Source organism: Homo sapiens, chromosome 9, assembly GCF_000001405.40.
Source record: "Homo sapiens chromosome 9, GRCh38.p14 Primary Assembly".
Classification (NCBI taxonomy): domain Eukaryota; kingdom Metazoa; phylum Chordata; class Mammalia; order Primates; family Hominidae; genus Homo; species Homo sapiens.
In genome coordinates this window covers 117,095,266-117,112,744 of record NC_000009.12, presented here as the reverse complement: position 1 = coordinate 117,112,744, position 17,479 = coordinate 117,095,266, and the positions used below count along the sequence as shown (strand labels likewise).

General features: G+C 38.8%; 1 protein-coding gene across 3 annotated transcripts in view, besides 1 other annotated feature; it reads left to right on the top strand.

Annotated features, from left to right (window-relative positions):
- ASTN2 (astrotactin 2) overlaps nucleotides 1-17,479 on the top strand; it is a 991,946-nt gene that overhangs the window by 302,313 nt on the left and 672,154 nt on the right. For all 3 annotated transcript variants that reach the window (NM_014010.5, NM_001365069.1, NM_001365068.1), the window contains one exon: nucleotides 16,594-16,701. In NM_014010.5, coding sequence (NP_054729.3) covers nucleotides 16,594-16,701 — 108 coding nt within the window. The remainder of the gene's footprint in view (nucleotides 1-16,593; nucleotides 16,702-17,479) is intronic.
- Nucleotides 16,043-17,242: an enhancer, noted in NCBI's record as "MED14-independent group 3 enhancer chr9:119857782-119858981 (GRCh37/hg19 assembly coordinates)". NCBI's record gives its function as "activates an origin of replication core promoter dependent on BRD2, BRD4, P300/CBP and CDK7 cofactors, and independent of MED14, by STARR-seq in HCT116 cells {active_cell/tissue: HCT116}" and the evidence as "EXISTENCE:reporter gene assay evidence [ECO:0000049][PMID:35650434]".

Below are 17,479 nucleotides of genomic sequence, written 5' to 3'. Positions count from 1 at the left end.
TTCTTTTATGATTTATGCATTTTGTTTTCTATCTATGACCTTTGCCTACCCCAAGGTCAAAACAATGTTTCTCCTGTTTTCTCCTAGAAAGCTTATAGATTTATCTTTTACATTTACTTCTGTAATCCATTTTGAGTTAATATGTGTATATGGTATGAACTATGGGCTTTTGTTCATTCCTTTTAGCATATGGCTCTCCAGTTGTTCCAGCACCATTTATTGAAAAGACGTTCCTTTGACAACTACATCAAAAATCAATTGTATATACTTCTGAACACTCTATTCTGTTTCACTGATTTATATTCCTATCCTTTAGCCAATACAACACTGTCTTGTTTACTACAGCTTTATAATAGATCTTAAAAACAAGCAGTGTTAAGTCTACCAACTTTGTTCTTCTATAAAATTACTTAGCTATTGTGGATTACTTGCACTTTCATATAAATTTTAGAATTACCTTGTCAATTTCTACCAAAACAAAAAAAAAAACCTTGTTGGGATTATAACTTGTATTTCATTTACTCAATATTAAATTTATGGGGAGAAAGCATCTTAACAATATTGAGTATTACAATCTGCAAACATGGTATATTTGTTTATTTAGATTTTCTTTATCTTGACAGTGTTACATTGTTTTCATTGAAGATATATTGCATACCTTTTCTTAAACATATTACTAAGTATTTGAGAGTTTTTTCTACACTATTGTAAATAGAATTATTTTTGAATTTTTTTTTTAGCTTTTGCTGCCAGTATGTAGAAATACAATTAACTTTTGTATATTTACCATTTATATTTCAATCATGCTAAAGTAATTTATTCTAATAGTTGTTTTGTATATTCTTTGTGCTTACTTTTATAAATAATTATGTCATCTTTAAAAAATACAGTTTCATTCCTTCCTTTCAAACTTTAAGCTTTTTCTTTTTCTTGCTTTATTGAAATGGCTAAAGCAAGGGTGTCTATATATATTTCATTTTCAGCAGTTTGACTATGATGTGCAACTCTTTCTTTTTCCCATGTTTAAATCATGTTTGATTTTCCATGAGCTTTGCGAATTTGATAATTTATATCTTACATCAAATTTGGTAAATTCTAGCCTTTATTTCTTTATTTTTATTATTCTATATCTCTCTGAGACTCCAGTTATCTGTATTTAGACTGTTTGATATTGTCCCATGGGTCCTTTAGACATGGTTTAATTTTTCTTACTTCGTTTCTCAGATTGGGGAGTTGGAAAAGTTCTGTTAATCAAAGCCATTGATTATTTTCTTCATTTAATTAAGCCCATCCAGTGTTTTTTTTTTTATTTTATACATATTCAGTTCTAAAATATCTATTTGGTGCATATATTTGTAGATATAGTTTTTTTCCTGCCAATAGTCCTCACATTTTTAGTCATTAAAATCACCATTTCCTTTACCCAACTGATCACAGCTATTGCTGTTAAAGTTCTTGTCTGCTAATTTCAACATCTGGGTCATCTTAGAGTTGGCCTTTGCTGGTTGTCTTTTCCCTTGGGAATGAATGAAACTTGCCTGGTTTACCATATGTTGAGTAATTTTGGATTTAACTTTGGGAATTGTGAATTTATTTTATGAAGACTCTTGGGTTTTGTTATTTTTCTTTAATGCTCATGTTTTGTTTTTGAAGGCAGTTAATTTGGTTGGACTTCAGCTGTCCTGCCTTTGGTGAGCAGCAGCTCAAATCTCCGTGTTTTATTATCTTCAGCTGAGCCTGTCAGGGCCTGCCTTTCACATGTGTAGTCCAGAGGTCAGCCGGAGATATGGGCAGAGATTATACACAGATTGTGGGCTCCCCTTCTCTGAGTCTCTCCTTTTCTTGATTCTTCCCTCACTCTCTGCTGGCTTTACTTGATCTGGGATCCATCCACTGGGTCCTCAGTCCAGACAATGGCAAACTTACTCCTGCTGCTTCAGGTTCCCTGAGCTATGCTGTAAGTGTAGACTACCCTCAAAGGAAGAACCTTGAAGATGAGAAATTCATCCTGTGCTGGCTACTTCCTCTACTTTTCAACTTCTTTCCAAAATATGTCTGCTTTTATTTACTTCCAGGAGCCCTCAGGTAGTATTTTTGGCATTTTGTCCAGAATGTATCATTATTATCTGCACAAGGATAGGTCTGTTACTAGCGTACTCCTCTGTACCATATGCAGAACCTCCTCTGTATTTGATATTAATCATTTTGTTAACATAGGATTTGTGTTTTTATCCCCTTTCTTAAAACTTGTATTGAAATGTAAGTATTTTCTACATTATTTTATCATCATCATCAAAGCCTAATATTCTAACATCATTAACCATTCCCCTCAAGTTGGATATTAAGGCGATTTTCCATTTTCCAATATTTATAAATAATGTTGCAATGAGTATAACAGTGCATAAAGCCCATCCTGTGTCTAGGATGGGTCCCTTATGGTGAATTCCCAGAAGCAGGTCAAAATGGATGGGCATTTTTTAAGGTTCTTTTTTATATTGCCAAATTGCTTCCCAAAAGGACCGTATAAATTTGCACTGCTTGCAGCAATTTAGGAAAATGATCATTTCATAAAATAATATCCAGACAGCACTGGATATTATTAAAGCAAGAAATAACTTTTTTATTTCAAAAGATGAAAAATTATAACCAAAAATTTATGAACATATATATACATAACATTTTAATGGCAGAGGATAGATCTTCCTGGTTCTATGGCAGCAGATTCCAACGTGAAATAGGCGTATTTCAGAGAAGATTCTGAAAAATAAAATTCTGAACAAATAATCACAGACAATTAAAAAGAGCAGGGAAATTGGGAAGCATAGAGGGAGAAGATATACTTGTATAGGAAACTAAAAGATGACAGAAAAGGCCAAAAAGGTGAAACAATTTAGCCCAAACTCATGAGAATACTCCCGGAAAGGCTGAGGCTTCAAAATTGTCAATGCATGGTGGACAAATTTGAAAGAAAATAAGCAAAGGTAAAACAAACTTTTAAAATTGCTTTTGGAACAATAAGAATAAGAAAATAGTTGTCCTATTGGATGAAACAACTGAAACTTTATTACCAGATGAAAGTAAAGAACTAAGTTCATTCTGATTCTGTCAGATTTGTCACACATCAAGAAAAAAACCTGAAAACTAAGAAAGGGAGAATAAAGATATTTTATAAGAAGGGGAATTCTAACACAGAAGTATTAAGTATTTACTTTGAAGTGGCTGCCTTGATTTCCATCTCTAGACCCAATCAAATTACTTCCAGGGGCTAAAATAATCTTGAGATGTTTTCAGAACCAGAGAGTTGGGTGTAATCTTGGAGAAATCAAGGCAGGAACAAGAGTTTCCAAAATTCTATTGAAGGACAGATTTATTTTTATTTATTTATTTTTATTTATTTATTTATTTATTTTTTGAGACAGGGTCTCCCTCTGTGTTTGTTTATTTATTTATTAATTAATTTTTTGAGACAGAGTCTCCCTCTGTCGCCCAGGCTGGAGTGCAGTGGCAAGATCTCGGCTCACTGCAACCTCTGCCTCCCAGGTTCAAGCGATTTTCCTGCCTCAGCCTCTTGAGTAGCTGGAATTACAGGCATGTATCTCCACGCCCAGCTAATTTTTGTATTTTTAGTAGAGACGGGGGTTTCACTATGTTAGCCAGGCTGCAAACTCCTGGCCTCAAGTGATCCGCCCACCTCGGCCTCCCAAACTGCTAGGATTACAGCCGTGAGTCACCATGCCCAGCCGGAAGGACAGATTTTATCCAGCTTACTAATAAATGGTGAAGCACTATTGAATCTTGATTATGATTCTCAAGTACAATGAGGTGGGTTTGTCAAATTTACATGGTCAATATGTGAAGGGAAGTTGGGAGCACCAGAAGCCATCATGGGTTCATGAAGAAAAATTATGCCAGATGTATTGCATTTCTATTTGGGTTGGTTTGTTGCATGGGAAGATCAGGGATATACCACAGATACCAGATATCTGAATGCACCCAAGATATTTGACAAAGCAAGGTCACACAGCCAGTTTGGAGATGGAGTTTGCTGGGAAGTTAAGTGTCTTTCTATTCCCAGGATTCCATGCTAGGTTTTCCCTAGTGAGAACTCTCTGGTTCTCACAAGTATATTAATTTCTGCATGTGTTTATTTGAATATTCAATCTTCCCAATTAAATGTAAGCTCTCTGATGGCAGAAACTATTTCTGTTTCACTTCCCAGTGCATGTCCACTTCTAGGCACATTATGGGCTCCCAACAGATTGAATGAACAAAATGTGTGTGTGTGTGTGTGTGTGTGTGTGTGTGTTTTGTTTTGTTTTGTTTTTTTCCAAAGGGCACAATTGTAGGCTGCTTGATAGTATAGTCAAGATGGTTTACTTTTATTCAATTACATGTTCTCAAAGAGTTTTCATTCACAGTCTGATGTCACCCTGAAGAGGGTTCTCTGCCCATTAGCTGTCAAGTTTTATTCCAACATGAATGTCAGTGTCTTAAAGAAGGGAATACCTAGCATGGAATACTGGGAATAACAAGGGCCACAGTTAAACTTCCCAACCAACCCCGTCTCTGTACTGGCTGTGCAATCTTTCTCAAGACAATCCCTGAAGATATCAATTTATTGATATTTAACACATGGATATCAGCATCAACTTAATTGCAGTCTTACATGTACTCAATGATTGTACCATACATAAATGTTTAGTCCTGTTGCTTGACATGTAGCAGGCAGTCAGTCACTATTGTTCCCTTTCTTACCTCCTGCTCCTTTTCAGGTTTATTCAACTCATAAAGGGCCTGTAGTCAGGGAATACTGCAACTATGAGATCAGAAGATTAGGACCAAAAAAGTACATCTTGAGAGACTAGAAGAAAGGGTTGAAATATACAGATACAATTTGGTAGTACAAAACGTTCTTTACTTTGGTTTAGAAGCATCAATTCTACAAATACATGATAGGAAAGACCAGATTTATTTGCAGTGCATGTCAACAAGGAACTGAGGGCATGTTGAGTGTAAGTCAGCTGCCAATAAAGCTGAAGCAGGCTTGGGCTGCATTATTATAAGTCTTGTGTTCAGAGAGAGGGAGGTGTAGTCCATTATTGCTCTATGCGGGTCAGATCACACCTGAATTAGCATGCCCAATTCTGGACATCAAAACGCAAAAAGAATGTGAGAAAATTGAACTATTTTAAAAAGGATACGGCAGAATGAATTTGAAATATGGGATGCATATCAAAATTACTAAGATTTGAAAACAATGATGTAATACCCAGTGTTACAGAAGATACAGTGAAATAGTCACTCATATACAGCTGATTGGGATAAAATTGGTATATCCTTTCGGGAGGGTGTCTTGACAATATAGATCAAAAAACCTTAACTATGTCGAAACCCTTTGACCCATCAATTTCTCTTTCAACACTCAAGAAATTTCTACATGGGGATGCATAGGGATGTGTAGAAATATTTACCTGTAAGAATGTGTGATAAAATAGTGAAAAACTGGAAACAATGTAAAATTTAAACAATAAGAAATTGGTTAAATAAGCAGTACATTGACATAGTAATTCTACTATGTCAATAGTAGAACTTTTCAGGCATTAGGTGATATTGAAGATGAATACTTAATGGAATGATAATATTTATGACATTTTAATTAGCTTTAATTCCATAAGCAATCTATATTTATTTTCTCACAAAAAGGAAAAAAGATAAGAAGAATATCTCAATATTCAGAGAAAATCACCAGTATCATTTGGGTATATGTAGGTATAGATACATGTATAGATGAATATTTTGTACATATAAATCTAGATGTGTGCACATGCACAGACACACATATGACATATGTAAATTACATAATAGAAAAAGCTGTCAGGTATATAATTTAACCCCAATATGTATTCCTAGCATAAATAAATGTATCGGTATATAGATAGATAGATAGATAGACAGATAGATAGATAGATAGATATTTTTTACAAAATTCACAGGATATGCTCAAGTAACAAGACAATGAAACCTAGTTGTAAAAACGTATGCATATAAATGCACTGTTAAAATCTCAAAGTAAGAGAAGTCAGTTGGGAGTAATAAAATTTGACTTGATTATTATTTTCTTCTTTGTGCCTTTCTTATTTTTGAAAACATTTCTACAATAAATATGTACTGACTTTATAATTCAAAAATTATAATTTTTAAACATATAAGGAATGGCTGAAGGAATTAATAAAAATATGTAGCTTGGGCTGGGTGCAGTGGCTCACGTTTATAATCCCAGCACTTTGGGAGGCTGAGGGGGGTGGATATCACTTGAGGCCAGGAGTTTGAGACTACCCTGGCCAACACGGCAAAATCCCGTCTCTATTAAAAATACAAAAATCACAGCTACTCAAGGGGCTGACGCACAAGAATAGCTTGAAAATGGGAGGCGGAGGTTGCAGTGAGCCGAGATTGCGCTACTGCACTCCAGCCTGGGTTACAGAATGAGATTCTGTCTCAAAAGAAAAAAAAAAGAAGAAAAGAAATATGTAGCTTGGATGAAAAGATTGTGAGTGGGCACATAAGCAACCTCAGATGACTGAGGACCATCATAAAGGGAAGCTAACAGTCTGACTCTACCATTTCAAAAGTCTGGACGGAATCTAGAAAGTGGAAATTTCACGGAACTTAATACCTGACCAACCTCAGATACTCAAATCTGCCCCCTTACTCTACTGTAGCTTCCAGAATTGGTTCTATATTCTCCTCTCTGCTCTGCCATTTATGAGCTATGGGACCTTGACCAAGGCATCTGTAGTGTCTCTGACCCTCTGTGTCCTCATCTTTCAAGTGGGAATAGCAATGCCCATCATCCAGTTATTGTGAATGTCAAATGAGCTGCTGTGTTTGGGAAGAGAGTAAAAGTATTATCTGTTATGCAATATCTGTGAGATGATAATATATTTTTCAGTCACACCGTATGTCAGGAACAGGACAGACCTAGGACCAGGGTCTCTGGACACCACACCAGCTCATCTTCCCATTGCCCAGGCTGCCATATGGTGATAACTTGGAAAGAGTGTGGAGATTTTTGTAGGACTGGAAAAGGGGAGTGTTCTGTTTACCTATGGTTGCATGATATAACATCCCAAAGCTAGTGCATTAAACCAACAATCTTATACTCACGGATTCCAGGAGTCAGGGAGTCATAATGATAAAGGAAAGGTGAATTATCTCAGTTCCACAAGGACTGGACTTCAGCTTGGAAAACTCAAAACATCCACGGGTAACAGATGGCAGAGGGTAGAATCAACTAGAAGGTTCTCTCATGTTTTTGCCACCTGGGATGGGGTGGGATGTCTTAAATGCTGGGCTTAGCTGAGACTCTTGACTCAACCACTTACACATAGCCTTTCTATGTGGCTAAGAATCTCACAGCACCGTGGCAGTTTTCCTAAGAGGAAACATCTAGAGAACCAGTGTTTTTAGAAAGCCAGACAAAAGCTTTATTGCTTTTCAGGTTCTATCTCTAGAAATCCTGCAGAGTCACTTCCTCTGCATTCTGTAGATTAGAGTTACGTTCCTAAGGCCAGCCTAGATTTGGGGGCAGGGAAATGAGACTCTGCCTTTGATGGGGGTGTGGCGAAGGTCTCATTGCAAAAGATAAGGCAGGATGGGAGATTTTGTTATGGCCCCATTTGGAAAATATACCATCCCACAGGGAGGAGTGGGATGTTCAAGAAGACAAAGCGTTACTTCCCTGGAAGAGTGAGTTAAGCTAGATTGGTGAGCTTCTCCCTCGTAAGTAGTTATTTAAGCCAAAATTCAGGGATAAATTGGGTCATTTCCTTTCTTGGGTGATGGAATGATCCCCCTCTGAGATGGCCATATTACGTTAAAGGTCAAGTGAGTAATGGGTTTAAACTGCAGCAATAAAGAGTACTTATTAAAAAAATAAGCAAAGCTTTTATTAGGTATCTTTGTTTATTAGCAAGCATTAGAAGTTCATTGGAGGAGAATTTTTAAATGCGTAGGAGCAACAATAAGAAATGTTTTAAAGCACACCTAAATCTTATCATCCAGAGAAAAACCACCGTAACACCTTAATATGTTTCCTTCAATATGTTTTTGCATGTGTGTATTTACATATATTTTATGTGTGCACTTTAAAAACAGAATACTGTTGTTTTTAAAATATGTTTTATTATATGCTTCTTAAAACTTTGTTCATAACCGTAGATCATGCCATCTCAGAATGACTTTTTACTTTTTTCTTCTTTATTTTTATTACATACACAGAATGGCATTCATACCAAATATGAGCAAGCATATATAAATTTACACAAGTGGAGTCCCTCTTTGTATTCTTCTCTGCATATTTTTTTACCCAAAAGTATGTCATGGAGAGGTTTGTATGTCTATAATTTAGATCTATGTCACTGTTTTCAATGGTCTTATGAAAGACTATATGCTATGATTTTTTCATCAGTCTTCTGTAAATGGACCTCTCAGTTATTTCTTATTCTTTCCCTGAAATTATAAACAATCAGGTTTAGCTATATTTTATCATATATAGGTTTTCACCATAAAAATCCATTTTAAAAATTCAGCATGAATCCCAAGAATGCCGCAGAAATTTCTTCCCTGGGGGATCAGACAAACCAGGGTTTGAATCCATATCCTTCCACTTAGCTGGATGGGTGACCACAAGTAAGGAGCTCCACCTCTCCTGGCCACATTTGGAGGAATAGCATAGTAACCTCTGTGTAAAGTGCCTGGCCTATAGCAGGTGCCTGATGGCAGGTAGCAGTTGTGGTCAAAACATCTCCGAGAAGTGAATGTGTATGAACATTTGTGGTTTAGCTCTAGAGCTCAGAGCAATTGTGAGTTGTGTGGTATAGGGGGTGTGGGAAGTTTACCCACTTCTGTCCTTTTTCTATGACTGGGACCATTTGTATTCCCTAGATGGTTGGGGGTCAGATGGGTTTTTCCATTCCTGAACCACATATTTCTTTATCTGGCACAGTTCTGGGTAATCTAAAAATGCAATATCACTGTCACCAGCTTGAGGAAGACACGGAGCCTGAATAATTTAACATGTCACCACCATCCATCATGATAGCAAGAGCAGGAGATGGAGTGTGGAGGGCTGGGCCTGTCGAGGCTGGCAGAGCAGGTCTGTGGACAGGGCAGCCCAAGAATAGAAGGTAGATTGCAAAAGAAGAGCAGTGAGTTAACTCTCATAGGCCCAGGAAAGACCTTGTATCATCTTGCTCCATACTTTTCCATAACATGACTTTCATGTTGTTCAGATGCCCTGATTAGCCCCAGAGCACACCTGGGGTCAAATTCCTAGTTTACCACCAAATATCTATGCCATCTAGGGGAAGGCTTTAAATATCTCTGAATATCTTCATTTATTTAGCAGCAAAATTGAGGTAAGAATTCTCATGTAGAAGGCTTTGCTAAGCCCTAGAATGGTATGCCAAGAATATCTAAAATGCTTTCCTACTAGAAAGCAAACTCCAATAAATCAGTAATTTTTGTCTGTTTTATTGAGGCTTTATCTTCAGTACCTAGACAGTGTTTGGGACAGCATGGGCCCTGAGTAAATGATTGTTTAAAGAATGCATAAACAAATGAGTGAGTATTGTGATGATTTTAGGTGAACATGTGGTCTAGGACAAACTGAATGGTCACCTTCTGCATCCCCACACACTGGGCTAGGACTCCAGAGGTCTGAGCTCTTGATTCTTTCAAGGTGGCTATGTAATTCTTCCACTCTGTGCCCCAACTTTCCCTCTCCCTGTCTCTCTCACAGCTCTCACATTCCCCATTTATGGTTCTATCACTAATTTAGTGATATTACAAAAAAAAAAAGTTGGTTTCTTTTTTTCGTTTTGTGAGATATAATTCACATAAGATAAAATTAATCATTAATTGGCCAGGCACGGTTACTCACGCCTGTAATCCCAGCACTTTGGGAGGCCAAGGCAGGCAGATCATCTAAGGTCAGGAGTTCAAGACCAGCCTGGCCAACACGGTGAATCCCCGTCTCTATTAAAAATACAAAATTAGCTGGGCATGGTGATGCACACCTGTAATCCCAGCTACTCAGGAAGCTAAGGCAGGAGAATCGCTTGAACCCAGGAGGCAGAGGTTGAAGTGAGCTGAGATCATGCCACTGTACCCCAGCCTGGGTAACAAGAGTGAAACTCTGTCTCAATAATAATAATAATAAATCATTTTAAAGTGTATAATTCAGTGGCATTTAGTACATTCACAAGGTTGTACAGCCATCACCTCTGTCCAGTTCCAAGACATTTCTACCACCCCTAAAAGAAACTCAATAGTTATTAACTGTTACCCCTCATTCCCATTTTCCTCTGTCCAGCCCTAGCCACCACTAGTCTACTTCCATCTCTACGGATTTAGCTATCCTGGATATTTCATATAAATAGAATATGAATATACTATGTTGCCTTTAATGTCTGGCTTCTTTCACTTAGCAAAATATTTGCAACATTCATCCACATTGTAGCATGTATCAGTATTCCTTTTTATGGCTGAATAATATTCTATGTCTATATACCACATTTTGTTCATCCATTCATCAGGTGATTGACATTTGGGTCGTTTGTACCCTTTGACTTGTAAATAGTGCTGCTATGAACATTCATGTACAGATACTTGTTTGAATGCCCTATCTTCAGTTTTGGGGCTGGAGGTATATACCTAGGAGTGGAAATCCTGCATCATGTGGTAATTCTGTGTTTAACTTCTTAAGGAACCACCAAAGTGGTTTTCACAATGGCTGCACCATTTTGCATATCCAGCAGCAATGTATGAGGGTTCCAACGTCTCCACAACCTCACCAACATCTGCTATTTTCCATTATTTTGATTATCACCCACCTAGTGGGTATGATGTGATATCTATGGTTTCGGTTTGCATTTTCTATTGACTAATGACAGTAAGCATGTTTTTATGAGAACAGAGCATTTTTGAATCAGACATACATCAGATTCAAATTTGGGCTCTGCCATTTGTGTAATTTTGATTAAGCAACAGTGAGATTCTGAATATTTATTTGTCCACCAATAAAATGGGATTAACTCCTACATCTCAGACCCCTTGTGAGGTGTAGGAGGGATATTGCATGTAAGGTACCTGGGGCAGTACTTATCACACCGTGGCATGTGTTTAGCTCACCTTCTTAATGGCTCCACCTCAGGCTCTGTGGTACCAGAAGAACCAAGGGCCCAAGCAGCAAGGATAGAAAGGCTGCTGGTTCCAGCAGATAGATTACCTCTTCTTTTTTCTTGCCAGTCTCTAACCATTCTCACTTTCTCTCAGCCCCTAAATGGAAGTACGGGAGCAGCCCTGTGTAACTAATGGCTGCATTTTATTGCACTAAATCACCAATTTTATATTAAAATGCTAACAGAGGGGGCCCTTTTCTAGCCATCTGAATCACCTCCAAGTCAGACTGTAATTGGCCTGTGGCCCCTTCAGATTATATGGATACTCAGAGGCTGTATGCCTTGGGTGGCTGCCACCTCCCCAGGATGTCACAGCAGGCAGGAGAGTCAGGGGGCACCTCAAACCAGCAGCACTTCCTCCCTTTCATTCTGTTAAACACAGACAAGCATCAAGTAATTGAGGAATGTGCCCTGACTCTCACTTCTTGGTCTTTGTGCAGAATGTTTACATGCAGCATACTCTTTTCCCAATAATAACCATTGAGCTGAGTTCTTGTACCCCTTTTAAAGATGAGATCAGAGAGATCAAATGCCCTGTCCAAGGCCATATGCTAATAAGTGAATCAAAGAACTAGAACTCATGTCTGACTCCAATAACTTAATTTATTTCTACTGAAGTCCATTACTTCCCTTGGCTCATGGATAAACAAATATAGAAACTAACTAGACTCCAAGTGCCTTGAGAGTAGGGACCATAGATACTGTTGTTTAACAGAATCCCAGCTGTGCCATTTTTTCATCCAGGTCAAAAATCCAAATTGTTTTTTAAGATTGAACATTTTAGTGGAGGTCGTGGCTTATTCATCTTCATCTTGTACTCAGATCCTTGCCCTTAATTTGCTCAGTAATATTTGTTGTACAAATATGTCTAGAACTGTGTTCTCCAATATGGTGAGCACCTGAAATGTGGCTTGTCTGTATTGTGATGTGCTGTAAGCACAAAATGCATACTGGGTTTTGAAGACTTATGAAAAATATATAAAATACTTCGGTAATAACTTTATGTTAATTTCATGTTAACATGATAATATTTTAATATACTGAGTGAAATGCAACATATTCTGGAAATTCATTTGAACTTTTATGTTTACCCTTTTAATGGGGCTACTGAAACATTTAAAATGGCATATGTGGTTTGCATTATATTTCTATTGAATCTGGTTTATAGACATTGTTTCTGAGCCTCAGTTTTCACTCTGAACACATGGTACTTTAGTACTTACAAGAAGGGAATAAAGGTCAGAAGAGTTTGGAAATGGAGGCTTGACCAGAAGGGAAAGCCTTTATGGAAACCCTTATGGTAGTTATAGGGGTGTGGTCACTGTGCCTGGACATGTGGAAAGATGGGAGAGTCACAAAGATCTTGCTAAGCCTGATTAGAGTTCCTACAAGAAAACAGGTCCAGGTGTTGGAGTCAATTAAGAGAACTGCTAATCCTTAGTGGTCAACATATCAAGCATTTGCCAGCCCTCTACATCCATATGCATGCATGTGTGTGTGCACACATAGGCACAGACACACACACTTTCCCTGGTTGTATTAGGTACGAAGCAAGCTTTGCAGGTAGACAGACCAAATTTCAATCCCATTTCTCCCACTTACTACCTCGTATCACCTCTCTGAGACAGTTATTCATCTATGAAACCAAAACTCATGATACAGTCCTTATAGGGATGGCTGTGGATATTAAACAAAGTATTTGTTCATATTTTATTATAAACCAGCATTGTAAAAAAGGAATAGATTTACCCGCCACTGTCTGAATTTGAATCGTGGTTCTGCTACTTACAAGCTGTGACCCTGGACAAAATATTTAATTTCTACGTGCCTTCATTTTCTCACCAACTGAAATGGGAATAAATGTAGTAACCTATCTCCTAGGGTTCTTGTAAATATGAAATGAGTCAACCCATGTAAAGGCTTTAGAATAGTGCCTGGAAGAGATACTGCACTATGCAAGTGTTCGCTTTTCTTACATTAGAATTTCCTGGTGACTTTTCTGTCACTCTGTCTATCTTGCTCCAGTAGGGAAAGAATAAAGTCTGATTCCTGTAAGCCAGATTTGTTCACCATGGTAGGGCCATAACAGGTCATGTGTTTAGGATGGGAGGGAAGATAAAGTGGAGATTGGAAGGAAGGAAGGGAGTGAGAATTTTGCTGAAATGTTTCAAAGTGTGGCTATGGCATCCAAGGGGCTGTGGGAAGAGTCTTGGGTGGCCTCCTAACAGGGATAGACCCTCCTTTTTGCTCTGTGGCTCCAGACATAGCAGAGAGTATGGCAGATGTTTTCTGAACATAAGAGAATGACTTTATCAGATGCCTTCATTTTTTCTTTGGCCAAGAATTATGTATAGATGAACAAAAGTCTTCCTCCCTCCTTTTTTTTTTTTTTTTGGAGACGGAGTCTCGCTCTGTCACCCAGGCTGGAGTGTAGTGGCTTGATCTCGGCTCACTGCAACCTCCACCTCCTGGGTTCAAGCAATTCTCCTGCCTCAGCCTCCAAGTAGCTGGGATTACACGTACATGCTGCCACACCCGGCTAATTTTTTGTATTTTAGTAGAGACGGGGTTTCACCGTGTTGCCCAGGCTGGTCTCGAACTCCTGAACTCAGGCAATCTGCCCGCCTTGGCCTCCCAAAGTGCTGGGATTACAGGTGTGAGCCATCATGCCCAGCCCTTCTCCCTTCTTTTCTTTGTTCTTTCTTCTTCTTTTTTTTTTTTTTAACAGTAAAATATTTTAATGGCAATTTTAAAAGCCCTACTGGCTTCTGGGGACCTCTGCTCTCCAGTCACTTCCAAAATCTCCATGAGGTCCCTGCCAATTCCACTTCAAAGCTAAGCCTTTAAATGGAGAACTGCATCTGGCAGAATCTGAAATCTGAAGTCTCCTGATGTCTCCAGGCCCTGCTTTTAGTTGCTGGGGATTGGGGAAGTGTGCACTAAGGCTCCGGGACAGACCTTGCCTGATGACACATTTTGGGACAAAGATCAAATGTTGTCATCCTTTGTACTTTCCCACTCATTAGAACATACCGTCTTAAGGAAGGATGGGTGTGGGGAGGCAGATATTAATCTTTCAATTTTACAGAGCCTTAAACTGAGAGGCAGCATCATAAGTGGCTAGAAATTTGAGCTTGGGCATTAGTTCCACCTGGTTTCGAAGTCCACCTTCACTCATTATTAGCAAATCATTTTTCTTTTCTGAGCATCACTTGCCTCATCTGTAAAGTAGGCACAATGATGCCTCTCTCCTAAGGGTAGTATGAATTCGGAATGAGATGTTGTATACAAAGCTCTGAATGCTGTACTTAGCATCTTGACACTCGAAGGATGATCTGCTCTTTCAGGGTTCGCTCATGAGTGGTTTTAAGGAAAGCAATGTGTATATTACAGAGAGACCAAATTTGGAGTTGGACAGACTAGCCTCGAAGCTTAACTCTCCTAGTCATCTGCTGTGTGACTATGCAAGTAACTTTGCATGTCTAAGCATGTCTTTGCATCTTTGCTTTATTATCTAGTTTGTTAATTACACCACTCTTATGAGTATATCATGATGAGGATTGTCAGCAATAATGTCTACAAATCTTCTAGGTACATAGCAGATTGTGCAACAATGTTGCTAGAAAGAATGAATGTGTAATAACCATATTGCAGAAAAAGTGTCTGCAAGTAGAATTTCTGTATACTGAATGCCATTTCAAATACCCTACCTGAGGAAATTACATAATAAATCCTTTCGTGCATTGAATAACATTTCCCTTTAATGTATGTTTTTCTTTTCCTTAGTTGAAATTTTTGAATAGGTAATAGGTTTGCATGGTGCTTGATTGAAAAGATGCAAAGAGTTTATAGAGAAAAGTAGCCTCCCTCTGTTCCCATCTTTCAGGCACTTAATTCTCCATCCAGGACAACCATTTTTACCAGATTCTTAAGTCTCCTCCCAGAAAGTCTATTGCTGTAGATGTCTGAAGCCCCATCAATGAAACAATTTTAAATACCAAAGTCCTTATTCTCCCGTGCCCATCTACTCACCCCCAACATCCTCAGAGGCTCTCTCTCCTGGTTATTTCTTCTCTAGAGTAAATAATTTACTAATCCTTTAGGCAATTAAAAAAGCAGAAAGCACAAAGATAACAATAAAACATACCCATATTTCTCTCTTTGGAATTAATGGCTATTAGTATTGTGGCATAATTGCTTTTAGCCTTCTTTTTTATCCTTTCTACAATCAGCTGTTCACAGCATATGAATGCATTACCCTTTTCCCTCCACACTCCTCTGAGTTTGTCTCTGAAGCACCCTTTGCACTCATCTCCTCCTCCCATCCTCGCTGCACAGGCCCTCATGCAAGCCCTGACCTCCATTCACCTAGGTGGTCACTGAGCCTCCTGGCTGCTTACCCTGCCTGGCACCCATCCTGCAGCCTAGGTACCACTGGAGTGTTCTTCCTTGTATATACCATGGCTGGCCAATTCATACTCTTGCTCCAGAACCTTCCATGAAACCAAAAGTAAAGCTCCCTATCCTCCGTTTGGCACCCAAGGCCTCCCGCTGTGTGTCTTCCCAGTCATTTCTCCACTTAATGTTGCCCCTGACTGCCCACATGGCCCATTCCTGAGGGTGCTCAAGCTGGTACCTCTGCTGGAAGTCCTTTTTCTATCAGTGCAGGCCCATCCATCCTTCAAGACCTGACTTAAATCTTCGCTCCTGCATAAAACCTTCTCAGGCCCTCCGTGTTGAAATGAATTGCACTCCCCCATATTCCTAGCACCTCATTGAGTGGTAAACAGAAGCCATGAATTAGGTTTAAGCTTCCTTAGGATTCCATTTGTCCTGCTGACTAGCTTATGATCCCGTGCCTGGCAAAGACTGAGTCCTATTTATCTTTGTATCTCCAGCGTCTTGCACTTTATTGAAATGTGGTTAAAATTAAGTTGTCTAGAGTGTTTTCTAGAGTGTTTGCTTATCACCAAAAGCAACAATAGCTATCAGTTGTTTAGGATGTACTGCGGACCAGGTATTTTATATATTACATCTCCTTTAATCTTCAAGGCAATCTCACAAGGTGAATAATTTTATCCCTATTTTAGAGAGACAGAACCCAGGGCTCAGAAAGGTGTGTTTTCTCTTCAAGGTCACACAGCTCAGAAGCTGCTGAGTCATGCTTGGACCCAAGATCTGCTTCACTGCAGAGCATGAACTCCTTCCATTTATCACACTGACTCCTGGGTTGCTTGGGATTTACAGAGAAAAGTCTGGGGATGGGATTGCTGATCTCTGGGATGGTTGAGGAATCTCACAAACTTCTGGAGGCCTGGGAGACTAACTGATAGACTGTGCTTACTCACAGGAGGAATCAGCTTTGGGAGAGCCAAGGGGACGTCGGGCTCAGAGGCAGACGATGAAACTCAGCTGACATTCTACACGGAGCAGTACCGCAGTCGCCGCCGCAGCAAAGGTAATAGTGTCCTTGGAAGGTTCCAGAACCAGAGTTTGTAGAAGGAAATCCTGGAAATCAGATTTTGTGTTCACTAGCAAATCCTAAATCTTCTCTAACCTGGTCCCCATCTGGTTAAAACTGAGCTTAGTATCTGTTGCCCTGGCTATATGGGTGACCTTCAGTATAATGCTTTTCCTGGCTTATTCTTTATTTGCTTTCTGTCCCACCTTATTCTTCAAAAAATACTGTGAATTGTTTTTGGTTTATGCAGATTTTTAAAACTTCAAAAGAGGAAATGAAATAACTAATCATATTAATATGAAAATAAGAATAAGGAAAATTATTCAAACCCAGGTTGGGTTGATGCAGAATAATCCCTGCCATACTGTTTTGTAGTTCTTAGAAGAGGCTGGCAATTTAAGTAAGAAATTCCCGGCAGCCAAAGTGTGAAGGGAAACATACTCAGAAATAAAATGTACAGGGTTAATGGGAAAGAATCAAGCATTTGTTCAGGAAATTTTACTTACCAGACCAGAGGTAAAGTCCTCAACTTGGTATGTATAAATAAGATACCGTGTGCCTTTCTAGGCAGTTTCTTCAACAGATAAAATTCAGTATTGGATAATTATTTCTCACAATGGCACTCAATGTAGGGGGATGGCCAAATGCTGAAGCAGGACTCCACAAAGGTCTAAAACCTGTGGCCAAGATCCATCGTTCCCTGATGATTCAACGTGCTCTGAAAGGAAAACAGCATATTTCAGGCAATTGCCTGTGAATGTGATTCTTCATCTTG